General features: G+C 36.0%; 1 long non-coding RNA gene across 1 annotated transcript in view; it reads right to left on the bottom strand.

Moving 5' to 3' along the window:
• Positions 1-27,279, bottom strand: part of LINC02238 (long intergenic non-protein coding RNA 2238) — a 63,964-nt gene that overhangs the window by 14,083 nt on the left and 22,602 nt on the right. Inside the window, exons 2-3 of the long non-coding RNA NR_146300.1 lie at positions 24,717-24,809; positions 15,135-15,416 (exon numbers count right to left, since the gene is read on the bottom strand). This is a non-coding gene — a long non-coding RNA (long intergenic non-protein coding RNA 2238). The remainder of the gene's footprint in view (positions 1-15,134; positions 15,417-24,716; positions 24,810-27,279) is intronic.

Genomic DNA, 27,279 nt, shown 5'->3' with positions numbered 1-27,279 from the left:
TGGTCAAGTTGACACATAAAATTAACTATTATAAGTCTATCACTTGTCATCATGGCACCCATATAGATCTCCTTAAACCATACCTAAACTCCAAATAAAGACACTGACAAAGTCATAATTCTACCTAACATAAAACAAACTGTTTTGAGCACAACCAAAACGCATTAGTCCCTTCCCCAGAAAGGGAGTTAATATCTTTGAATGATGTTTACTCGTCACTTATTATCCTGTAACTTAAAAATATAATAAAAATATTATACTTAAATATTGATATAATGTCAATACATCTTATGGTGCATGATAAATAACAGGAAAAAAGATACTTGCTTAATGTATATAATATATGTGTAAACACAAATGAATTCATAACGAAAAAGGAGGAAATTCTCATGACAATTACAGTTATCATTTATGTAAGTTATTATGTAGTTGCATGTGGCATTTATAAGCACCTTCTACTACCCATTCTGTATTTTCTTTTTTGCTTTCAGCTGGTTGTAGTCCTTCACTTGGCAAGGTTATCCGACCTTTTATTTCTAAAGGATCTTGGCTATCAGTAGTTCAGCCTGGAGTGTGTCATTGTAATTTTTTAATGACCTTAATTAAGAGCCTGACAATACTAAGACATATCTTAAGGGATCTTCTGCCTTCCAGACATACTCTTTATCACTTCCATTTTAAAGTAGTCGTCCAATTCCCCTTGGTAGTACATTTCAATCACCCTAGACAACACTCTAACTCCCTTCTCTGCATGTTGATTCTGAGGCATGAGGAGCCCAAAGTGGTTGTGTGGCTATCTTAGCTTCCACTATTAGTGGAATCAGCATTGTTTCTTCTGGTGAAAACATTCCTCCTGCTCAAATTAAGGCTTCTAGGCCAAAAGAGCATAAATTCATGGAAAAAGAAGCAAATATTTTGCGAGAGGTTCACTAGGAGTAATAGTGAATGAAGACATTCTCATTTCTACCCTTTGAATCCTGGGCCCATGAATTCTGGCTATCAAAGAAATAGCAGCATAAATTGGATGATGATTCAGAGCATATACAACCAACTGGAAAACTTTTCCCCAGCCATCAGAAGTATTGCCACTAGCTGGTACTGTAAGTTCATCTTCAAAGGCCCTTACACCATTCTGTCAAGTCAGCTGCTTCAGGATGGTGGGAAACATGATAGGAACAGTAAATTCCATGAGAATAAGCTCATTGCTTCACATATTTTACTGCAAAGTTGAGTTCCTGAATCAGAAGCAATGCTATGTGGACTACCAAGATGGTGGATTAAGCATTCTATGGGTCCACAGATGGTAGTTTTAGCAGAAGCAATGAGTCTAGGGAAGGCAAATTCAAATTCAGAATAAGTGTCTGTTCTAGTAAGGACAAAACACTGTCTCTTCCATGATGGACGTGGTCTAATGTCATCAACCTGCACCAGGAAGCTGGTTGATCACCCAGGTTAATAAAGCCATATCAGAGACTCAGTATTGGTCATTGCTGATGATAAGATGGGCACTCTACGGGAACCATAGCCATATCTGCCTTAGTGAATGGGAGTTCATGTTATTGGACCCATGCATAACCTCCATTCTTGCCACCAAGGCCACTTGGTTAATGAGCCCATTGAACAATGACAAAGGGGGCTAGGAAAAGAACCTGGAATCCACAGGGTTGGTTATCCTATCCACTTGGTTATTAAAGTTTTCTGCAGAGGTCATTCTTTGCTAAGCATTCACATGAGACAGAATTATCTTAGTGTTTTGCCCATTCAGACCAGTCAATCTACAGACTTATTCTTCAAATATTTTTGTCACCTATTTTTCAACTGTGCTCCTTCAAAGACCCTAATTATCCATCAAACCATTGGCTCCAGCCCATGAATTGGTTTATAATTCTAAATCTGGTCATATATACTTCCAAACAAAGTACTCAGCCAGTTGCATTCCCCAAAGTTCTGCCCAGTGGGAGGGTTTCCCTTCATCACTGTCCTTCAGGGATGTCCCAGAAAGGGTTTGTAGTGCTGCTGCTGTCCATTTGCCACGGCTGCAGCATGCTATGCAGAACTATCTGTAAACTAGGCCTGAGTCTTCTCTTCCTTTGTCAACTGATCATAGGGGACTCTCCATGAGGCTGTAAGTGCGGGCTGGAAAAGAGAAGACAGTGTAGCTGGAATGGGGACCATGAACATTTGAGCCACTTCTTCTTGTAACTTACTTGTGCCTTCAGGGCCTGCTCAGGTCTGCTCACATAGATATCACTTCCATCTGAGGAGGAAGTACTGCTATTTATGCCCAATTATGGCTTGGGTGGGTGAAATATTACCCAGTTTATGATGGGCATGGTAACTTGTTAACCCATAGTCAAGTGCTCAGTTTCTGTTAAGGCCTAGTAACAGACCAAGAGCTGACTCTCAAAAGGAAAGTAGTTATCTATAATTAGTGGTAGGATCTTACTTCAAAATCCCAAAGGCTTGCACTGGGATTCACCTCTGGGAACCTGCCAAAGCTCCACACAACATATCTATCTGCCACTGACACCTAAAATTCCATTGGATCTGTTGGTTCATGTGACCCAAGTGGCAGAGAAGCTTGCACAGTAAGCTGGACTTGTTACAATGAGCTTTCTCCTTTGGATTCCCCTTAAAACTAGCAGCTTTGCAGATCACTCTGTAAATGGCCTAAGGTAACATCCCTAAATGAGAACTATGTTGTATCCAAAGTCCAAAGAGGCTCAGTAAACATTGTGCTTCTTTTTCAGTTGAGGGAGAAGTCAACTGCAACAAGTTATCATTCAGCTTAGAAGGGATATTTCAAGATGCTCCATACCACTGGACGCCTAGAACTTTCACGAGGTAGAAGACCCCTGAATTTTAGTTGGATTTATTTCCCACCCTCTGACATACAGTGCCTTATCAATAAGTCTACAGTAGTTACTTCTTGCTCTCTAGGTTCAGTCAGCATAATAGCATCAATGAAATGAACCAGTGTTTGATATTTTATGAAAGAAAAAGGTAATCAAGATCCCTGTGAACAAAATTATGACATAAAACTAGAGAGTTGACGTACCCCTCAAATAGGACAGTGAAGATGTATTGCTAGACTTGCCATCTTAACACAAACTGCTTCTGGTGAACTTTAGGGGATAGATATGGAGAAAAAGGCATTTGCCAGATTAATAGCTCTATACTAGGTACCAGGCAATGTGTTAATTTTCTCAAGCAATGAAACTATTTATGGTACAGCAGCTGCATTTGGAAGCACCACATGGTCAAGCTTGTAACAATCCACTGTTATTCATCAATATTAATCTGTCTTCAGCACAGGCCAAATCAGAGAGTTGAACAAAGATATGGTAGAAATTGCCCACCCTGCATCTTTTAAGTCCTTGAAGGTGGCACTAATCTCAGCAATCTCTCCAGGAATTTAATATTGCTTTTGATTTACTATTTTCTTAGGTAGAGTCAGTTCTAATGGCTTTTACTTGACCTTCCACACCATAATAGCCCTCACTCCACAGATCAGGGAACTGATGTGAGAATTCTGCCTCTTGCTAAGTATTTCTATTCCAATTATACTTATGAAACTGGGGAAATAACTACATGATGGATTTTCAAACCCACTTTACCCAGTATGTGATGAACATGAGGTAAAGCTTCATAAGCCTATATTCTGACTGAATGGCCACAATAATGTTTTTGTTATTCTAGAATCAGTGTCAGTTCAGAGCCAACGTTAAGTAGTCTCCCAAAGGCCCAATTATTTCTTTTTCTCCAATATACAGTTATGCTTATAAAAGGCCATAGATCCTTTTTGATTCCTTCGGAAAAGCCTGGTAGAAAGATTAACAGTATACATTTTGTGTAGTATACCAGGGTCTTTCCTCAAGGGAACTTGACCTCCCCTGTACTCAAAGGGTTCTGGGTCTGTAATCTGACTCAAGTCTGGACATTGATGGAGGATCAAGTAAGAATTTAGTAGATTTCCTATCAATTTCACTTCTGGAAACACTATGATCAATTAGTCTGCATGAGCCATACCATTCTGATTGCTTCATTGACTCTGCAGTCTATAATGGTAACCACCTCCGCATTGCCTTCGGCAGTTGAATGCTGCCTTTTGGCTGCTGCCACCCTGAGGTCCAATTACTCCTGTTGCATTCAGGTTTCCCAATTGAGTGGCTGCAGTTCTCACTGAAAGGTCTGGCCTGCAGAGAATAATGATCATGAAGCTCTTCAAGGATGCAGGGCTTCTATCATAATGTTATTTCTCAAAATATTCATAATAAATATGTCTTCTAGACCTTCCCACTGTGAGCAAGTATCTTAAATGACAAATCTACTCTAACATTCCAGTTTCCTAAAGGCTTTGAACTTTGAATCCTTTCCCCTCTACATTAAACTAAGGAAGATTAGGCTCGCTCTTTTCTTTCTGTCTTTCTTCTTTCTTTCTTTCTTTTTCTTTTCTTTCTTTCTTTCTTTCTTTCTTTCTTTCTTTCTTTCTTTCCTTTCTTTCTTTCTTTCTTTCTTTCTTTCTTTCTTTCTTTCTTTCTTCCTTCCTTCCTTCCTTCCTTCCTTCCTTCCTTCCTTCCTTCCTTTCCATCTTCCTTTTTTTTTTTTTCCATAGTCTCACTCTGTTGCTAGGCTGGAGTGCAGTGGCAAGACCTAGGCTCACTGCAACCTGCGACTCCCTGATTCAAGCGATTCTCCTGCCTCAGACTCCTGAGTAGCTGGGATTACAGGCACATGCCACCATGCCCAGCTAATTTTTGTATTTTTAGTAGAGACAGCGTTTCACCATGTTGGCCAGGATCTCCTGACCTCGTGATCAGCCCGCCTCGACCTCCCAAAGTGCTGGGATTACAGGCGTGAGCCACCATGCCCGGCTAAGATTAGACATTTCTAATTCACTCATTGGAGATCATCTTTTGATCCATGTTTCAGCCCACAAACCAAATAAACTATTACAGCCCTTTTTAAATTCTCTGAGCTACGTCGTTAAATGTAAAATCTCTGCATAGTGAGCCAATATAAGTAAATTCAGCACGATTCAACTTTATGTTCCTTTCATCATTATTCTAAATCCTTCGCTTACATTCCCATACAGGTACCCTGGATTTCTATCTGTATAAATTGGAAAAATCTAGAGCTTCTGGAGTGTCACAAACCTTCTCATGGCTCACACTTGCACCTCACCTTGAGGGGTCTGCTGGGTCTTGAGTTTAGTTATAAGTCCAGAAGCAAAAATTTGTGGTGGACATAGGTACTGAGGAGGAGCTGTAAGTTTTGATTGGCAGTTGCCTCAAGGGAGGCCATTTCTGTTTCCTTGGGAAATAAAGGGTTAATCCCCTCAGATGGATGTGCAAAGACTTCCATTTGGATTCAAATGCCAGGAAATACCAAGAAAAACAGAGCCATCTACACTATGGGGGTACAATTAGAAAATCAAGTCTTTGTGAAATTCTATAGGAAAAATGAAGCAGTTTCTTTAATATATAACTCCCTAGGAACATCAAGAGAATGATAATGAAACCATAAAGATTTTAAAAGACTTAAATCTAATTATATTATATTTACTTTGTACTCTAATTCAAACTATCCACATGCACCCACTCATACCCACACTCACACAAATATATGTGTATTCTTTGTCTGTGTGCGTGTGAGTATGTACTTATCTTTCCAGAGATAAGCGTATGTACCTACATGTCTGTCTATCTGTCTATCTATCTATCTATCTATCTATCATCTATCTATCTATCTTTTAACATTTATCTATCTAGAGATTGAAAAAGAGAGGAGACAGAATGTAACACACAAAAATAGACTGCAGAAAGAAAAATGTGTTATATATGAGTGAATTGGAATTTGGAGAAGATTCTGGCTATTTAATGATATTGAGCAATTGTTGTTACATATTTGTAGCTGTGGTGAAGGTGTTGTGATTGTTTATAAGTCTTTAGATAGATAGATAAATAGATAGATAGATGGATGACTGGAGAATATATGGATTAGATCATATATCTGGAAAGTAAGGGAGTGGTGGATGGCCTTTGCAGTAGTTCTTAAGCAGGATCAATTTTGTCCTTCAGAGCAGCGATCCCCAATCTTTTTGGCACCAGACACCAGTTTTGTGGAAGATAATTTTTCCACAGATGGGGTTGGAGGTGATGGGTTTGGGATGAAACTGTTTCACCTCAGATCATCATGCATGAGATTCTCATAAAGACTGTGCATCCTAGATCCCTCATATGTGCAGTTCACAATAGGGTTTGCCATCTTGTGAGAATGTAATGGCATCATTGTTTCTGACAGGAGGCAGAGCTCAGGCAGTTATGCTGGCTTGCCCACTGCTCACCTCCTGCTGTGCTGCCCAGTTTCTGACAGGCCATGGACTGGTACCAGGCCATGGCTCGGGGGTTGAGAAGCTCTGTTTCAGAGAACATATGGCAAGATCTGGATATATTTTTTATTGTGATGGCTGGGAGTCAGATGCCACTGACATCTAGAAAAAGAAGCCAAGGATACTGCTAAATTTTCTAAAATATTCCTAAATGCACAGGACTGCACTTCCCCAAAATAACTATTTGGTCTAAAATGTCAACACTGCTGAAGTGCAGAAACAAGTGGTTATAAGTAAAAATAATTTTGTTTACTTTTACGTATGCTTAAATTATTACATAATGAATTGTAAAAATGAATAAAAATAAAAAGAGGTGACTTTTTTAGTTTAATTATGTCAGATAACAGTGATTGGAAGGATGTTCAAATGTGACCAAGAGGATTAACCCTCAGTAGAATTAAGACAGGGAAATGTGTCAGTTTTGAAGTCAGTTTAAGATACATACTAATCAAATAGTAAAACAATGTTTTTATTACTAAGAGAAAAACCAAGCCAAAAATATTTTTAAGCTAGAGAACTTTGGAGATAGAGGGGCTCCTATGATAAGTAAACCTTATAAATGCAAATCTGAATTTTAAAATGAGATGTTTTAGAGAGTGATGATTCACTTAATAAAAAAAAGTCTTTAAAAAGGACTCACTGTACAATTTCCTTAAATAAATCTTTCTCCTGAATTAATTTGAATTGATTTACACATATTTGACCAAAATGCAAATTTTCTAGAACTTGCATGGAGTGTGAATAGAGTGTAACCAAAACACTAGTTTTAAAATATGTTTAGTTATGTGCTTAAAATGTTCGGTAAGAAAACACTTGGATACCTTTAATAAGATCTTTAGTTAGAAGCTGCTTTATAGTTGATCTTATAGTAATGTAATGCTTTTAAAATGCAAAATTTAGTCAATTAAATTCCTTTTATGTTAACTAAAGGCCCTAGAAAGGAGGAGTAACTTACAAAATTTAGGAAGATAGGAGCAATATGAAAAAAAATTCAACAGTTACTTATTGCCAGAGTCTTAGGAGAAATGCAAGTGGCAGCATGAATCATATTTCTCTGTTCTGTTCTGATAAAGAGTGATATAGAGGAGGAAAAAGGCTGGGCGAGAAAAAAGGAAATTTGCCATTCTGCTCCGTAAAGAATGTACATGAATGGGGGCAAAATTTGCAGCTCAGTGCTGCAGTCAAAAGAAGACAGGATGGTGCCATGGACCAGGACAGTGGTAACGTCGGATCAAGAAATGGTGATTCAGCGCGTATTTTAAAAGTTATTACGTTAGTGCTGGCTTATGAATTGAGTAAGGAGTTTAGAAGAAAAAGAAGAGCTATGGAAGACTCTAAGTTTTGGGGCCTGACTACCTGAAGAAATGGTTCAATTTATTGGAAACCTGAGGGAAGAAAAATTTACACGGAGAAAAAGTATTCTGTTCTGGCCAAATAACATGTGAGATGCCTTTTAGATATGAGATGGAGATGTGAGAACACAATTGGACACATGGGTATATGAGTATGCAGCTCAGAATAAAGATTCAGACTAGACATAGAAATTTAGAAATCATCAGAGCAGAAGTAGTATTTTTTAATCGGATTGGATGAGTTTATTTAGGTATCTGTACATGAGAAGACAGGAATTGAGAGAAGTGAAACACTCTCTGAGAAGTTTGCAAGAGGAGCAGAAGCTGGTAATGAGACATTGAATAGGCTGCTCTTGAGGTAAAAAGCTGTTGTTAGATATATTGTGTCCTAGAGTCAAGTGAAGAGAATACTTTAAGAAGGAAAGAATGATCATTTCCATCACCTGTGTACGATAGTTCCAGATAGGATGTCAGACCATCAACAGAGTATTGTGGAAAACACTAGTCAGTATTGCATTAGCCGTAATAGTGGTGCTGTGGAGTCACCTCCATTTAGATTGAATTGGATTGGTTTCAAGACAGAATGCAGTAAAAAGAGAGAGAAAGAATGAGGTACTTATTTTTGTAGTGATATCTCATGGCATGCTACATATGCTTTTAAAAATAGAACTACTAAGTAAATGGGTAAAATACAAAGAACAAAATAATAAAACATTTTGATGAGTTTATACAAAAGGAATTTTTAAAATATATATATGCAATCAGGAATATTAGGAAATAGGTAAATGCCAAAATCCTATTTATTTTTTGTTTCCTTAATGATATTATTATTCAGAAATTTAGGCGTTTCATAAACACAAGCTGTAAGTATAATTGTGATTGGCCTATGCGCTGAGTGTTTCTATAATTTTAGAAGAATTCTACAGGGAAACTAACAAGGACTGCTCTAGTCAGTGTCTTCCATTAAGAATATTTTCCATTGGAAAGTCTGTCACAGGTATGTGTTTTATTTACTATCTTACTCTGTTGTCAGGACAAGAATATATACTATACAATTCCTCAAGGATCTAGAACCAGAAATACCATTTGACCCAGCAATACCATTACTGGTATATACCCAAAGGATTATAAATCATTCTGCTATAAAGACACATGCACACGTATGTTTATTGCAGCACTATTCACAATAGCAAAGACTTGGAACCAACCCAAATGCCCATCAACGATAGACTGGATAAAGAAAATGTGGCACATATATACCGTGGAATACTATGCAGCCATAAAAGAGGATGAGTTCATGTCCTTTGCAGGTACTTGGATGAAAGTGGAAACCATCATTCTCAGCAAACTAACACAGGAACAGAAAACCAAACACCACATGTTCACACTCCCAAGTGGGAGTTGAACTATGAGAACACATAGACACAGAGAGGGGAACATCACACAATGGGACCTGTCAGGGATGGGAGACTAGGGGAGGGATAGCATTAGGAGAAATACCTAATGTAGACGATGGTTTGATGGGTGCAGCAATCCACCATGGCACATTTATACCTATGTAACAAACCTGCACATTCTGCACATATATCCCAGGACTTAAAGTATAATAAAAAAGATACATGTTTATTAAAATATATCTCATCTTTAGAGCTTACTGTTGAAAACAACACTGATTTGGTTGATTACTCCTATTCCAGTTCAAATAGGCTGGAATTACACATAGATTTTAGAATGAATGACCCTAGAAAGGGGCGCCTGTCTTGGGAAAGAGGACTTTGAAGAGAGAGGTGTAAAGTTGTAACTCCAGATGGATTCAAGCGTAGATATATTCCTCCATCATCTTCAGAGATTGAACTTGTACCTCCTGTTTCACAGAAGAAGTTATAACATTTTGTTATTATTTCTCTTGTTACCACAAAGCCAGGTATCATGGGAGTATGTATGTGAATCTCAGAGACTCAATTTATGATGTTCCCCAGATTCACTTTGTTTCACAGTTAATTGCTAAATAGTTAAGTTCCTGGCCCCAAACCTCTTGCCCAACGGAAAGTCATGTTCCATCATATAATACTGCCACTTGTCTCTGCTAGCCTCAAGATTATGATTAATGTCTTGCTTCCCTTGGCCCCAACATAATGAGGAGCTTTAGGACTTAGGAGCCCAGGCCAGGAATAAACAGATCTCAAGAGGCTCTGGCTCCTTCCACCACTCTGGACTTAGGTAAAGCCTCACACGTCAGAGCATGGTTATGCCTTCCAGAGCACCTTGCTGGAGTGTCTGGTTGACACAACCTGAAAGGTTTTTTTTTTGTAGGCTTTGTTAATGCATGTGGTCAATTTTTGGCCACTGAGAAAGAGGAGACAAGGTCAGGAAATCTGAAGATAAATTATTTTCCTTTCTTTCCCCAGGAAACTTTTGCAAAGCAGCATGGCTCTGAACAACTTTACCTGTTTCATGTGATTAAGGCACTGTTATATTTTCTTGTGGAGGTTTGAATAGTTTCGAAATATATATCCTGTATTTGATTTACCTTCTTCCCTCTCTCACCTTTGCTGCCTTGGTAATGTACCTCCCAATAAATCTCAAACTCTATATGAAATCATTTTTAGTCTATCTTTTATAAGAAAAATATACTGAGACAAAGGCCTTGATAAAGACCTGAAAAATGCTTTGGCCACACTTAAAAAAATTCAAAAGTATTTCATTATGGTAAATGATTTTAATTGCCAAAATGGAAAAAAGGTAAATATGTTTTATATTCATTTTTATTTTAAAAAGACTTATTGAACTTTTGCTGAAATAGAAGGTTAAATATCCAAAAATATATCCTAACGTGAATCCTTTATTCTTGGAACTTTCAGTCTAATGACCAGAGGTTAGTTAGGATCTATTGAAAATGTAATCCATCTCCCCAGAGAAACCACACATTGAACGACACAATATAGAAGGGTGAGAAGTTATAACTACAATGACATAAACATTCTGGATGATGGAAATATACTGTGAGACTACACATCTTTCTAAACTGTAGAAAGCTTGGTAATAATTAGAAATTAATGATGTAGTAGCATTAAGAAGCATTTGAAAATACATATACAAGAGCTGTCAATTTTAGAAGTTGTCAATTTGTAAATTGTAATTTTGCTAGAATACCCCTAGCAGAAGGGCAGAGTCCCTGAGTTCAGCAAAAGGTCTTGGAGCTGGGTGAATGAAGGATCAGTCTAAGCTTGTTATGTTATTTTCCTATGAACTTAAAGGTTACTTAATAATAGTCGGTGGAGCTCAACTGGAAACTAGATGTATTCACGAATTCTGTTTGGACATTCAGATCTACTCTTTAACCTTCTCTGACTTGCTGTGTACCCCAAGAGGATAATCTGTAAGAATTACCTCCATGACCTTTCTTGTTCTCTCTCTGGATTCCAGTTATATTAAATTACTCCAGAGTACTGGCTGGAGACTGGAGGAAAGGAGTAAACCTACTCCCTGTGGATATGCCATAAATAGGCTGGATCTTTTGAGGAAAGATCGCTCCACACATCTCTCTCTCTTTCTGTCTACAGATTTTGGTAATCTTTCCCTCTTGGTGTTCTACTATTACTAACTTTAGGCACCACACTAGCCCTATGTTGTGGTTATGAATGCACTTTTATAAACAGTACATTAAATAACCTCTTCTCATATTACTCGATTTGAATGTCCCATCTATCTGCTTTTGTGACTCTCATACACAGAATTATGGAGGACAGGTACTGGTCTTTTCTTTATGAAGTGCATTTTCTCTCCCTTTTGCAAAAATTACATCAAAAGAAAAGAATTTCTTTTTCCAAATGAATTGTCCAATCAATAACATAGTTAGCAAACCTATTTGTTTCTTCCTGTATGTAAAATGGGTTACTAATCACAGTGAGTCAGCAGGCAGACATTGCTCTTTTCATCAAGTGAAGTAGAAGTCACAATCTAGAAGATGATGCCAGAAAGATAACAACTAATTACAATTCTCAAAGAGGCAAATAAGTACTCTATTTTTATAAAACGATTATAAGTGTATTAAATGAGAAAATTATGTAGTTTAAGAAGTAGAAGTGAATCCACTGAGAGCAATGATTTGGATAGGCCTGAACTTAAACCAAGTTGTCACCTCTATTCAAATCTCATTCAGATTGCTCAGACAGAGCTCTATATAGAGGCTAACGTCAGAGGAAGAAGATATGACAAAAAGAGTAAAGAGACTCTAAAAAAATAGATAAATGGATAAAATAATGATGAAAGATATAAATTCATTGAGCACCATTGTAATTATATAACATTGTGAAATGTCCCAAATTTTAGGTTAGTAAAAGGAGTTGATATTTACTGATACAATTGTTTTATCTAATAACTACTTTTCAACTCCCTTCATCAGTAGTAAAGGTAAAATAATTAATTCAATAGTCAATATTTTCTTAAGCATTTACTATGAAGGTCTGATACTGTGCTAAGTGCTAATAAAATAAAGCTGAATACAACATTGCACTTGCTCTCAAAGAGTTTATAATATAATGGAGAATACAGATCAATAGTAAGTCGATTTCAATACTAAGGGTCAAGTACTAAATGGAGAATTATAGTATATATGGGAATACATAGGAAAGTCATCTACTTTTAATTTAGAGAACTGAATTAAGAAAGATGTTCCAAAAGAAATGTTTAAATAGAAGTCCAAGGATGAAGAGTGATTAACTGAGCAATAGAATTGCAAAAAGCTCTGGACATGAGCAGGGATTTAGGAAAAATTAGAAGTAACTAGAGCATAGTGTATGGATTTTTAAGTGAAGTTGAATATGACTAGAGTTAGGTGTAAAGCTGGAGAATTAGCCAGGAATTGAACATCAAGGGCTATATTTTCCCTAGTTGGGACTTTACATTCCAGACAAGCCACTGGAGGATTTTAATCTGTGGAGCGTTATTTTGCTTTGCTTCTTAAGCCAGACTAGACCCAATTTTTAGGAATGTACAGTGGAAGACAACAGAATTAATAGATCACACATTTGTTCCTTCATCAGTTGATCGCTTTTTACATCAAATCTATGTGTATGTATACAATAATAAGAAAATTTGATATGTAATATTTATATTTTTCAATTCTACCAAAATTTCAGAAACTAATTTTTAAAATGCAACAGTGTCTTTTCTGGTAGCCAAAAGGTTGCATTAAACAAATTTTATTCTTAAAACAAATATTAAAAGTTGTCACATATAATATCTGCATGAATTTTTATGCAGAAAAACAAGACTTGAAGGAAATGTCTCCCTCATTAGAAGAGTAATAACTTTTATTTCAGATCAGCAGTTGAGAGCAAAGTCTCTGGTTTCTGGATTTAAACTTCACTCTGCAACTTACTGTTTATATGTTTGTGGGCAAGTTATTTATCCTCCCTGGTTCTTATCTTCTTATCCACAAGAGGGGAAAATAACATCATCCACATCAGATTTGGTGAGAATTAAGTGAGATAATACATATAAAATACTTGGCTCAATGCCAGTAACATTGTAAGGACTCTATAAATATGAGTGAAGACTTTTGAGCCCACTTGACTATAGTCACATATTTTTTGTCTTCTGCCTTTACGGATTCTTGTTTAGTGAAGTTGAGAATCAATCAGAAGAACTTGAGGAGATAGAAAGAACTTATATATTCCAAGGTTAATGCACCTATATACTCCAAGTTTAGTATTATCAACCTGTTTCTCTTACAAGATTAAGTTAATTCAATATTACCTTTAGTTTTGAAAAATTTGGAAGTTGGTATGACTAAGGAACCTGATAACTTGGATAAGCTCTAGAATTAATGGAGGAAAATGACTTTCTTATTTTTCTCCTATACTCTGATCCCAGATCCCTAGAGCCATTCTCAGGACAGAAATCCATACATAACTAATACTGGGTATTTTTTTTTCTGTAGGATGCTATATGTTGCATTTCTTGGAAACCTGACTATGGCATGAGAGTTAAAAGAAGATGAGGAATCCCAGTGCAGACCATTAGTTCTTGGTGAGGAAACAGATAATTCACAGTGGACTGCTAGTGGCCTTTTCTTGACATCTTTCACCTCCCTTATTAGAGAAGGTAAGATTTTGAAGGACGTTGGACCTTTTCCTGAAACTTCTAACATTCACTTTAGGAGAGGGCAGGTTCTCTCAGCACGCCATCTTTGAAGCACCAACACACACAGCAATGGAGTACAAAGCTTGTTATTTTATCATCTGGGCAGAGAGAATGAATAATGGGCAGCTGACTGTGGGGTGTAACAGTGCGAACTATGAAGAGACCAAAATGTTTCTCTCCAGAAACCTGAAAGCTTCACTTTGAGTTCTACCTGAGAGGAAAAATGCCAATACATTTACACTATCATTAAAATAGCATACGATTATTATGGTGATCTTTCTGTTCAGTGTAGATGAAAAAAGAATAAAAAGAAAACCAGTAATCCTGAGAGGCATAATATTTTTAGTTGTACTGAAAGGTGAACTTCCTGTCATTAAATATCAATAGATACAGCCAAGAAGATAAAAATAGATTTACCTTTACATTACTAGGGCAGGAACTAAAAACACTAATGAAAAAGAGCTGCCTGGTCCAATTAGCCACAGCACAATGCCAGGCAAGGGGCAGAGCCAGACAAGCTGTCTCTGCAAAATCACTGACTGTTAGACACACCAGTGAAGTCTTTCTTTATGTCTAACTTGTAACAATATAAAAGGATTTACATTTCATCTTCTCATTGCCACATCCACACTGTCTTCTCACAAGGCAAGCTGTCTCTTTGTTTTCTTTCATGTAAGTTGGGAAATAATATACGAACATTGCCAAGGGAGACATATCGAAGTTTTAATAATCCTCCTTACCGAAGAGGACTCCCTGGGTCAAGGAAATAAATTTTCTGCAGACGCTGAGCCTAAATTTCTTTGGAGGCCAGCTTTCTAGGCTCCTTTCATTCTTAGCCATCCTCCCTCCTTCATAGTTCTGTCCTTTCATTCCTTCATCTCCCTTTCATTTTCTCTTCCTTCTTGCTTCCTTCCCCCAAGAGGACCTTCCTTGTTCTCTCTCTGGATTCTAGTTATGTTAATGCCTGGGCCTAATATTTTCTGTGACACTTTAACCATTATTGTTACTAGGGGTTCCCAGTTACCGTAAAAGGTGGGGTCTTTTATGTTTGGTGTTGTGAAGTCAGTATATGAAATGGGAAAGGAGCATTGAGAAGTGCAGGCTTTATTTGATGGTCATAAAATGGAGAAGTGGGAGAGTGGCCCACCAATCAACTTCTTGGCTCCTGAGAACCAGGAAGTTACAGATGTAGGATAGCTTTAATGAAGGGGTTGGGAATTGAAAGCAAAGGCAGGAATACTTACGCTTTTCTTAGGAAGGGATAAAGATTTTCCTGGAATCAAGGAGGGTTGAAGATTTCCCTGGAATCAAGGAGCCCCTTTTCTGCCCTTTTTTGGTCTCTTCTTGTCATTGTCATGGTGATTTTCAACTTTCATGGTACTGGCTGGACTGTCATTTAATATGGAAATTGGATTACAAAGAAGCCAGTGTTTCTTCAGAGTTCAAGCAAGCTTCCATCATGGATTTTCCCATCTTTCACTGGTTTAGTCCTAAGAGGCAACTTCTGACCACAGATATCCTGTTTCCTAAAAATAAGCAGAGTTGACACCGAGTAAGAATTCAGCTATATCACACAGATATTGATTGGGCAAAAACAAGCAGCGTAGGAGTCAGCTAAGTCACATAGGCACTCCAATGGGTAACAGTGTGAGGCACATGCTGCATATTACATACATGTGAACAGATGGGCACGTGGGCAGAGCATAATGACCTATGATTTACAGAAAGAAAAGATAAAGACATTTCCAAAGTCAAAGCACAGGGTATTGGCTTTGTCTTTCAAAATAAATATTTGTTATAACAGCACAGTGTCCACTAAAGAATGACAAAGTTCATAAATTTGGAAAGGAGAGCTTTATTTCTTACAAGAGGGTGCAGCCTGCAGGATGGCCATTCTGACAGGCTGAGAACCATAGCCTGTGGCCAGAAGCCAGAAACATACTTTGAGGGAGAGGTAAAGGGAATAGAAATTTATACTGAGCAGGAAAGCCAAATACACATATTTAATAAGCTACAGGAGGAGTCCTGATATTTATGAGAGGAGAAATGTGCACAATTGAGCTTCATGCCTCTTCAGGGGTTCCATGTACAAAAAATCAGTGGCATTGGCATGATTCAAGGGTGGAATTTTCAACTCCCTGACATGAAAAGGTGAAACAGAAGACACGAAAACCCTTGGCCAGAACAACCAATGGTTAATGGTCTCTCATCAGGAAGAAATGGTGGTCACTAGCTTTGTTGAAACTCCAAAAGGGAAGGCCGGCAGTCAGGCGGTTGGTTGATGGCAGGGATGGAGTCTTTTGAAAGGGCTGTTTTCTGTTTGGCCCTTAGGGAAGAAAGCCTAATGGTAGTTAGCAAGGGAGAGGTTATAACAGGCATGTCTGACCTTTCATCCTGTCATGGCTGAGAACTTAGTTTCCAAAGTTTTCCTGGTGATCCCTTGGCCAAGAGGGGAGATTTCAGTCAGTTGAGGGGCTTAGGATTTTGTTTTTATTTCTAAATAGTATAACTTCAACTAAACATCAGGGATTTTAAAACATTTCAAAGACTTCCTGAACTCTTTATGGTTTTGCTACACAGTCACATGCTGCATAACATTTTAGCCAATGAGGGACCACACGTTTGATGGTGGTCCCATAATATTATAATGGAGCTGAAAAATTTCTACTGCCTGGTGACATCAGAGTCATTGTAGTGTTTTAGTACAATGCATTTCTCACATGTTTGCCTGTCTGTGATGATTTTGGTGTCAACAAACCTATTATGCTATCAGTCTTATAAAAGTATAGCACTTATGATTATGTACAGTACATAATACTTGACAATAGTAATAAACAACTAAGTTAAAGGTTTATGTATTTACTATACTATACTTTATATCATTATTTAAGAGTGTATTCCTTCTATTCATTAAAAAATAAGTTAACTGTTAAACAGCTTCAGGCAGGTCCTTCAGGAGACATTTCAAAAGAAGGAATTGTTATAATAGGAGATAACAACTCCATGTGTATTAATGCCCCTAAAGATCTACCTAAAGATGTGTAGGTAGAAGACAGTGATACCGATAATCCTGACCCTGTGTAGGCCTAGGCTACTGTGTGTGTTTGTGCCTTAGTTTTCAACAAAAAATCTAAACAGTAAAAAATAAAAATAAGAAAACTTAAAATAAAAACATTTAGAATAAGGATGTAAAGAAAGAAAATACTTTTGGACAGCTGTACAATGTATGTGTTTTAAAATGTATTATTACAGAAAAGGTAATAGGTTAAAAATAATTAAAAATTGTATAAAGTAAAAAAGTTAAAATAAGCTAGGGCTCATTTATTATTTAACTCCAATAACTGGGGACTTCAACATCAATAATTGGGGATTTCAGCATTGGACAGATGATCTAGACAGAAAAATAAACAAAGAAATATCTGTTTTAATCTGCAATATAGACCAAATGGACGTAACAGACATTTACAGAACATTTCATCCAACAGCTGCAGAATACACATTCTTCTCAACAGTACATGGAACATTTTCCGGGATAGACTATATGTTAGGCCATAAAACAAGTCTTCAGCAAATTCAAAAAAAATGAAATCATAGTAAGTGTCTTTTCTGACTATAATAGAATATAATCAGAAATCAAAAACAAGAGGAACTTTGGAAATTATACAAATATATGAAAATAAAACAATATGCTCCTGATTTACTGATGGGTCAATTAAAATATTAAGAAGAAAATCTAAAAAAAATGGAAACAAATGAAAATGGAAACATAGCATACCCAAACCTGTGGGATACAGCAAAAACAGTACTGAGAGGGATGCGTATAGTAATAAATGACCACATCCAAAAAATTGAGTCTTTAATGATGCATCTTAAAGAACTAGAAAAGCAAGAACAAATCAAACCCAAAATTAAATAAGGTAAGAAATAATAAATATCAAAGAAGAAATAAATAAAATTGAGGCTAAAAAAAGTACAAAAGATCGGTGAAATGGAAAGTTTGTTTTTTAAGAGAGAAACAAAATCACAAGCCTTTAACTAAACTAAGAAAAACAGACATAAGACCAAATAAATAAAATCAGAAATGAAAAAGTAGACATTATGACTGATACCAGAAAAATGCAAACTATCATCAGAGACTACTGTGATCAATTATATGTCAATAAATTGGAAGACCTGGAAGAAACGGATAAATTTCTGGACACATACAACCTAATACGATTGAACCATGACAAAATAGAAAACCTGAACAGATAAATAACAAGGAATGAGATAGAAGCAGTAATGAAAAAGCCTCCCACCAAAGAAAAACCCAAGATCAGATGGCTACACTGCTGAATTATACCAACATTTAAAGAAGAACTAATACCAATTCTACTCAAGGTATTTTAACAAATTAAGTGAAGGCAATACTTCCAAACTCATTCTACAAGGCCACAATTACCCTGATAACAAAACCAAACAGAGACACAACTTACAAAGCAAACTACAGGTCAATATCGCTGATGAACATAAATGCAAAAATTCTCAACAAAATACCAGCAGACTGAATTAAACAATATATTAAAAAGATAATTGACTGTGGTTAAGTAGGATTCTTCCCAGTGACATAAAGATGGTTCAAAGTACATAAATCAATAACACACATAACATTATTACTGAAGAGATAAAATTATAAAAAATAAATTTAGTGTAGTCTAAGTGTACAGTGTTTACAAAGTCTACAGTAGTGTACAGTAATGTCCTTGGCCTTCACAGTCATTCAGTCATTAACTCACTGACTCACCCAGAGCAACTTTGAGTCCTGTAAACTCTATTCATTGTAAATGCCCTATTCAGGTTTATCATTTTTTCTTTTATACCATATTTTTACTGTACCTCTTCTATATTTAAATATGTTGAGATACATAAATACTTACCATTGTATTACAATTGTCTATACTATTCAGTACAGTAACATGCTGTACAGATTTGTAGCCTAGAAGCAATAGACTATACAATACATTCTAGGTGTAGAGTAGTCTACACCCTTTAGCTTTGTATGAGTACACTCTATGATGTTCACATAGAGATGAATTTGCCTGATGATGCATTTCTCTCTACAACATTGGAAATATGACTTTAATTTTGAAAGTTTACATATTTATACATTCACCTATGAGCGGCTCCTTACCTTGGAAAAAAAGAGGAGTCTGACATTTTGCTGGGGTGAGACGTGGGGGAAAAATAAGCGATGACCTGAAATTTCCAGAGTCACTTATATTTGAAAGCTCACAAATAATACAGAATAGAATCCCTTCTCCATTCCATCCCCCAAACCAGAAAGGTTTAATAATTTAGAAGTTCTAGGTTAATTTAATTATATTAGATAAATGCTTGGGGAGTCATATGTGTCCATTTGTGACTTGGCTATTACTTTATTTCTTGTTTCTTAGATGTAAGGTCTAGGGCAGAAATCTTTGCACATGTGACTCATTGAAGGAGGGCTCTCAAGAGAAACTCAAGTGATAGGGCAGGAGAAGAAGCTATGCAAAGATATGGTTTCAGGAGAAATGTAGCCCAGGTCTGATTATTTGGGGAGCTCTGGTAACTGAATTACACCACAGAGCTAAAGGTGCTAGACTCTTAAGGGCTTCACAAGTCAGGCATTGACTACTAGTAACTCTTGGAAGGGGATGGGGTCTAACCTGCTTCTCCCTGCAAGGTCATTCTCATCTGCCAAGGGCAAGTCTCCAGAGAATAGTGAAGACAGAAACAATGCAAAGGCTGAAGGATGTGCAAACCTGGCTTGCAAAGATCTGCGTGGGCATCAACTGCATTTTCTATAGGAATACTTTCCTATTCTCTTTAACTCAACAATGATTGCACATTTAATATATTCAAGAAATAGTCTTAGCTGAAATTATTAAATAATATATGACTTCTAGCTTTGAGAAATCCCCAGTCTAGTAAATGAGACAAATATATACTCAACTATTCGACTCTAATCTGTGTTCCTTGAGGTCCTAATTTGTCTGTAAGTGAAATAAATCGTGTTCACATTAACAGTCTAAATTGCACTGACTTATGTGGTATCTGCACAGCCTCATCTATGTTTGTTCTGAGACATGTCAAGGGCTAAGTCACAAATAAGTCAGATCTACCCCTCTGGTCCCTTACTCAAGAGGGCATTTCATCAAATCTCACTGCTTTAAAACCCATTTAATGGCTTCCAAGTCTCTATTTTCAATTTGAACATCTCCCTTCAAATATAGACTCATACATCTTCTTTTGGATATAAAATAGGTTTCTAAAACTTAACTTTAAAGTGTAATCCCATTTGTGTTTCCACAGCTGCTTTTTCTGCAGTTTTCTCAATCTCAGTAAATGACAACTCCAAATTTCTAGATACTTGGATGAAAAAAATTATATTAATCCTTGATTACTCTCTTTTTGTAATATTCACATCAGCAAAACATGTCTGTTCAAACTTCTGTCCTAACTGCTCTCTTCTTGCTTTCTTGAGGCTGCCCATTCCCCACCCCCACCCCTGACCCCAAAACACATATTTTTTTACAGTCACCATTTCATTTGAAGGTGAAAACAAATTCTTACAACAGCTTACATGGTGCTCTATGACTCTGTTAAACTAAAATATCTGCCAGAGTGAGCCATGGAGAATTCTTTGGAAAATAGCCTTTGGATTTAAAAAAAAAAATAGTTTTGAACCCATTCTGCAGTCAGGTTGAACCTCATAAATTAGTGAGCAAGTGTTACAGCTAGAAAATTGGCAATGATTGAAGTATGGCCACGTAATTAAAGTTATGGGGGTGACTATGATTACATTTGTAGAAAATAAAGTCAGGAGATAAGGGGCCTAGCAAGAAATCTGAGAAACTTTAATTTGTGATGATTAAGTGAGGTTGGAAAGACTAGCTCAAGAAATGAAGAAGTAAATGACAGAGATCAAAAGAGTATAGTGTCATGAGAGCTCTGGGTTATGTAGATGAATCATATTTTTTTAACCCCAGGAAGCCAGTATTAGACTTACATATGTGTAAATTAATTCAATGACTGATCCTGCACTGGATGTGTTCTACAATCATTGAAGTTTTTAAATATAGTTATAAAAGTTAGAATATTAATATCCCATGTTCTATGGCAATTATAAGGTTAAATATTTATAATAATAATAGTGATTATTAGTGTCTTATCACATTTTATATCAATTTTGGAAGCTCTTATTTCTATGTTTCATCACTGTTTCTGTGAGAAATGTTTTAAACATGTCTAGTTATATGGCAATAATACTTATTTTCAAATAATCATGACTATTTTAGAATCCTTACATTTGCTATTAGGCAGAAAACAATGGTCATGCTATTTGGTCCATACAGCCTCTGATTTCTTGACCACTGAGTTGCATATTTTTACAATTTTTACTATTTAAGAAATCTTTGGAAATTTTTGATATACTATTTGGTATGAATAACCAATGAAATTCTAGTAAAATCTTTAAAATAAGGCTAATTGTACATATCTTATAGTTGCAATGAGGATTAAAAGAGATAATATATTATAACATATTTGATCAATAATAATTTGTTATATTAGTGTAAATATTGCAAAGCTCATTATGTACTCTGTGATGAGCAAAGAGGTATCCAAGAATAAATAAATTGATATCTCCTTACTTAAGATGCTTTCATTTTAGTATTCTAAGACCAGAGAAATTTTAACATAAATTGGAATGCATTAAGTGAAAAACCCAGATAGTAAGCTCCTTAAGGACAAAACTCTCTCATATTTGCTATAACTTCTTCAGTGCCTAAAAATGGTACTCATCATGTACAATGCGCATAATTAATGCTTACTGAATACTTTATGGAGTATCAAATAAATGATAGATGAATCAACAAAATAGGTAGGTGAAAACAGATTGCACAATATAAAAACACGTTTGAATGTAAATAAAAACATACCATGAATTTTCAAAGGAAGGAAAAATGACTTCTGAATAAGGAGAATCAATTAAGCATCAAGAAGTGGTATTTGGCCAGATTTTATAAATGAAATAAATTTTAACAAGTGAAGATTAAGATTAACTTTTAGAATAGAGGAATGATGAAAGCAAAGGTCAAATGGATTGTCAAATGCAAATATTCTAAAGTTTTACATGTATTACTAGTATACAATTTGATAGCTTTAATAGAGTTATTTTGGTGTAGATTTGGACCAGAACATGGTAGTCAATAATGTTTGCTAAATTCACAATTTAAAGGAGAGTTGTTTCTGAACAGTTGAGTAGGCTGAGAACTATAAAACTATGCATTTGAAAAAGTAGCCATGCTGGTGCAGAAAGATGATTTGATTAAAAGTTAAGACATTTTAAATTAGTCATATTGGATAATTAGAAAAATAACATTAACTAAATGTTGACTAAATAGGAGCTCTCACTCCCACTGGAAAACCTATTAAGAAAAAGGTTGTAAACTATGGAGAAATGTTGGCTATTTGTCACTGTTTAAAGAACTACTGCATGACTGAAATGTTTAAAGAACTAAATATTTTTCCACAGTTGCAGCCACCTGGTGAGTTGCTAGCAGTCAGACAAAGGCAACCTTAAGGAAACGTATTTATCATGACACCCCATGCAGTTTTAGCCATAAAGAGTTCAACTCCAAAATGGATATTTCCCCAGGCTGTGAAATTTTGTTTCAGAAAAAGCTCCCTAGGGGAATTAACTTTCTTTCTCTATTTAATTGACTTGATTTTATAGTTTTAGAGTTATTCAATGATTTTGGTGTTCAATAAACATTTATTAAATCTACATGTGCCTAATATAAGCCCAGACACTGTGGGAATAAGCAAGATGGGTTTTCACACTATTATAATAAATACTTAAAATACAAACATTACAACTACTCTTGACAGAGAACTCCAGAGGGACACTTTCTGATGATTTATACAGAAGGTATAAACATTTTCTTCATTATGTCCATTTTAATTGCAGTGAGAGAAACATATATAGGTGGCAATTAAACACAAAATTATGGCCTACATTACAGTCTATTTACTTTCAAGATGAATTGAGTAGAAGATAAAATAATAGCATACTCTGCTCTAGCAATCATCTTCATTGCTTTTCCAGGCTTTGCCAAGAAAGATTCTTACATAACTTTTATTTAATATATATGCTTATTGCAGGAAAGTGAAAAATACAGCAGAATATAAGTAGTAAGATAAATTACCTTCAATCTAACTTCACTAAAATAGCACTGCTAATACTTTATCTGGTTTCCTCTTTCAAAATGTATTGCTTAAGCTATTTGAACAATAGAAATAACAAAATATGAGAAACTACCCTTGGTTCCAATTTTTTTTGCATGATATAAAGAAATGAACAAAAGTCTTTTCCACCAACTCCAGTTCACCTTCAGAAGTAACCCCTCTTTAGAGATGGCTACAGCATTCCTGTGTTTTAATTGGATTTCTTCATATCTTTCTCACTGTCTCTCTCATTCTCTGTCTTCTCTTGACCTATGTGCAAGTGTACATTTTGTTTCTTAATAATCATAATCATGGGATAATGGTATACATAAGAATCTGTAACTTGCTATTTTTTAAATATGTGAATGATACATTATTTCAATGTATAAAATGTATATAGGTCCAACATCTTCTTTGCTGTGGCTGCATGGTTTTCTACAACAGAGATGCCTCACAATTTATTAACCAATTCTTTCACTGTTCAATATTTAGTTACCAATTTTTGTTATTACGAACAATAGTGCAATCAGTATACAAATGCACATTTTCTGGACTTGACAGTGAGATTGCTGAGCCTTAGTTTCTCTCTATTGATGATTTGAAACTATCCTGCAAAGATTTTATTTTTCTAGGTTTCTTTTATTCATTTATTCTACACTGTTAAGATCAATTATGTGCAAGGTCCTATGCTAAAAGCTGCCGATGCACTATTGATTAAAACATAATCTAAGCCAGTAAAGACTAGGGTAGGGAACTTGGGAATCTATGTAGGCAATTTTATATATTATGGAAGATACTTTCTGGAAGAAAGTAGAAAAGCAACTAACTTAGTCAAGAGGGATGAAAGAACTTCTGGTGGAGATACTTATAATTAGAAATAGTGGGAGTTAGCCAAGTGAGACTGGACTGGGAGAAAAATAGTCTTACAAGAGTAAAAATATTTATAAAAGTGATGAAAGTTCAGGATTCCACCCTGACAATTTCTGGGCATGATGGGTACTTCTTTCCCTCTAATGGAAACCCTAGGCAGGCATAGCTGATGCACCCTCCAAGTGGCAATTCAGCCAAAAGAGGGGATTCAAATTTAATTGTGGCTGAGTTTTATAATAATGCTCTTGCCTCTCTTGCAATTGACTCTTATGGACAAATGTTCTAGGTGTGAATAGGAAATTATTGGAAAAACAGTGATCTTATAGCTACTGGAGAGGAACAGATTGATTTTGAGCTAGTGGAGTAGAGTAACCCTAGTATCTGAGGAGAGAATGAAAATACCTTAGACCCTGGGAGGTATGGAAGAGAAAGAACCATTAATGATAATTTGTCTTTCAGAAGCTCTTTTGCCTTCACCCTTTCTAATAAAGGAAAATGCCCTGTGTGGCTCTCCCACACTGTGGCAAGCACCTTAAATGTAACTGACTGCTGGGTTGACTGCCATCCCCTCCCTACCCTCTCACCATGACATCATGACTCTGGTCTGACCATAATTTGATTGCCATTTCTCTTAATCTTACTAAGAAGTGTATTGGAAACAGTAGGTTGACTCCAGCACCTCCCAAGAAAAATACCACTGGATATAGTACCTGGTCCCATCACTGTAGTCTTCTCTTCTCTCCATTTTTCCACAAAGTAGCCATCCCATCTGGTGACATGAAGAAAGAGGACATACCACCCATCTGGTGACATGAACAAACAGGACAGGTTGAACCAACTGTCTTCAAACATTCCCTCCAAAACAAGAACTAGAGTAAAATATTCAAACTGAACTGGCAACTCTAAGGCATATCAGTTGGTTGAGAGGACTGTTGGAAGAAATGTCAACCTGTCACCCAACTCATATCATTGCTATTTAGGGTGTCCCAACAACTGTAAACAACAATTTCCTCCCATATGTAACTCCAGGACTGTGCTTCTTGTGTGGAAGCCAGACATTATCTTGCCATCTTCCCCAAAACACAGAAATTGGCACTTTAGGAATTGTCCCAGAGGCCTTCACTTATTTAAGGGAATGTCACCAGTAAACTTATATCCCTCCCATGACTGTGGAGGTCTCTCTAAAATGAAGTTGCCATTAGTTACTTGGGAGAAAACTTATAGGAAGAATAATTAGCTTATTATTTACATACTATAGTCAGTTATCTATACAATGAGAGCTCTCCCATTAGGAAAATATGTTGTAAAATTTGTCTCTGACTGTAGCTGAATTAATCCATGTACACTTTTATCCCTACATGGCATTCAATTCAGCATCAAAACACTGGCCAGGATTATGATGAACAATAGACTTTCCCCAGAATTATTTCTTGCTGGTCAATGCAGAGTCTGTGCAACTGCTAACACATTCTGCTCTACCTTGGGCCGAGTGAAGGGGATAACACAAAAACCATAGAAAACTCAACACACAAACTGAAGAAAGAAAAAATGAAGCTAGATTCCTAAGTTAGATCCTGATGATTTGTGGAATGTATTAATCTTGTGGTGTCTGGGGACTTGGAAGGCCTGTTTGGAGCCAGTCCTACAGGTAGGCCTCATCCTGATGCTTGGAGCTCTGTTAATAGTTATCTATTAAGACAAATTAAGTTATCTATGAGACAAATACAGCAGGTTGAGTTCCAGTCTTTATTGGTCAGGTTAATCTAAGTGGACAATGGATTAGTGCACTTACAGGAAAATTCACTAGAAGCCAACAAAGTGGCTGGTTTCCTGAATAACATTGTTAGACTGTCTGGCATGACCCAAGGCCTCCAGGCATATAAAAATAATCCTATCATCCATGACATTCCAAAGGCTTATAGTTTACCTCCCAGAAATCAAGGGCAAGGCCCATACTATTTTGGGGGCAAGATTAAATTCTTTACTACACAATATCCCACCTTACTCTGTGATCGATTCTTCTTCCTCATATGTAATACTCAGAAAAATTCATCATGTACTAATTAGTCATCTTTCCCATGTATGATACTTCTGGTGATGGGAAACTACTTCTAACGTGGATCCCTTTTATCTTTGGAAAATTTATTATTATTTATATTGAGACTTCATATAATACACGATACACATCCTTTTACATCCACTAAAAGTTTTGCATGTAATGGTTGTTCATTGAAATTATGTTAAATGAATTAGATCATATATTGTATTTTACTGTACCATGATCCAAAGCCAAGTCTCACAAGTGATTGCAACCAGACATGTATTACAACAGGGAAATGTTTCAAAAGGGATGCTTCTGAAGTAAGCAAATGAGAAATGGAAGAATTTTTCTTATGAAGAAGAGAGAGAAATCTTAGAAACTAGAATGTTTTGCTGGCAGATGTATATCACAGCTTATGTGAACAACATGCTATAAGCTGTGTTCCACTGATAGCTGGAGAAGTGATAAATCTGAAGCAAGCCAAGTAAAATAAGATTGTGTAATCTCATACTGCTTTCAAGGCAAAAAAGAATATATGACAGACAGCTGACCTTTCAAATATAAGGTAAAGAGTATATATTTCTTCTTATTGGTACTTGGTTAATGATTAAAGTTTACTGAAAAAGAATATTTTTTCTCTGTGAACCTGATTTAGAAAAAATAAAATTAAGTGAGATTATAAAAAGTGTCTTTGGCTTAACTAATATATTCACCTCTATTCACAGGCCAGTTGAAAAGCTATAAAGCATTTTAAGCTTTGAAATGATAAACTTGTAGCCTGACATTCAGGAACTTGAACAATGCACTTCATTTTCTCACTTCAGTTCACTTAGCAGATTTGATTTTGAAGCTAAGGAGCACATTTACAAAACACTTGCAGAAATATCCCAACATTAAAATGATTCTGTCTTTGAGGTTTCCATTATCTTTCAGAAGTTAACTTCGTTCCATATTTTAAATGTCCTAGTCTTTCTAGAATTGCCATGCTTTATTTTCTTGTTATTTGAGTGAGAGGGTTAAATTTGCAACTCATTCTAAGTCAAATCTAAGTTATAACCATGCAAAACTTACTTGTAAATCATCCCCTTAAACAGCCAAAGAATTACAAACCCATTTGTACTATGTAAGAGCCATATGAACTACACGTATTGTAATCAAGACAAATTTTGCATAAATTAGACTGGTATGGTTCCAGTAATATGTTTTAATAAACATTAAATGAGTTATTTGTG

Source organism: Homo sapiens, chromosome 1 (assembly GCF_000001405.40).
Source record: "Homo sapiens chromosome 1, GRCh38.p14 Primary Assembly".
In the NCBI taxonomy this organism is placed as follows: Eukaryota; Metazoa; Chordata; class Mammalia; order Primates; family Hominidae; genus Homo; species Homo sapiens.
This window is presented reverse-complemented; position numbering and strand designations above follow the sequence as displayed.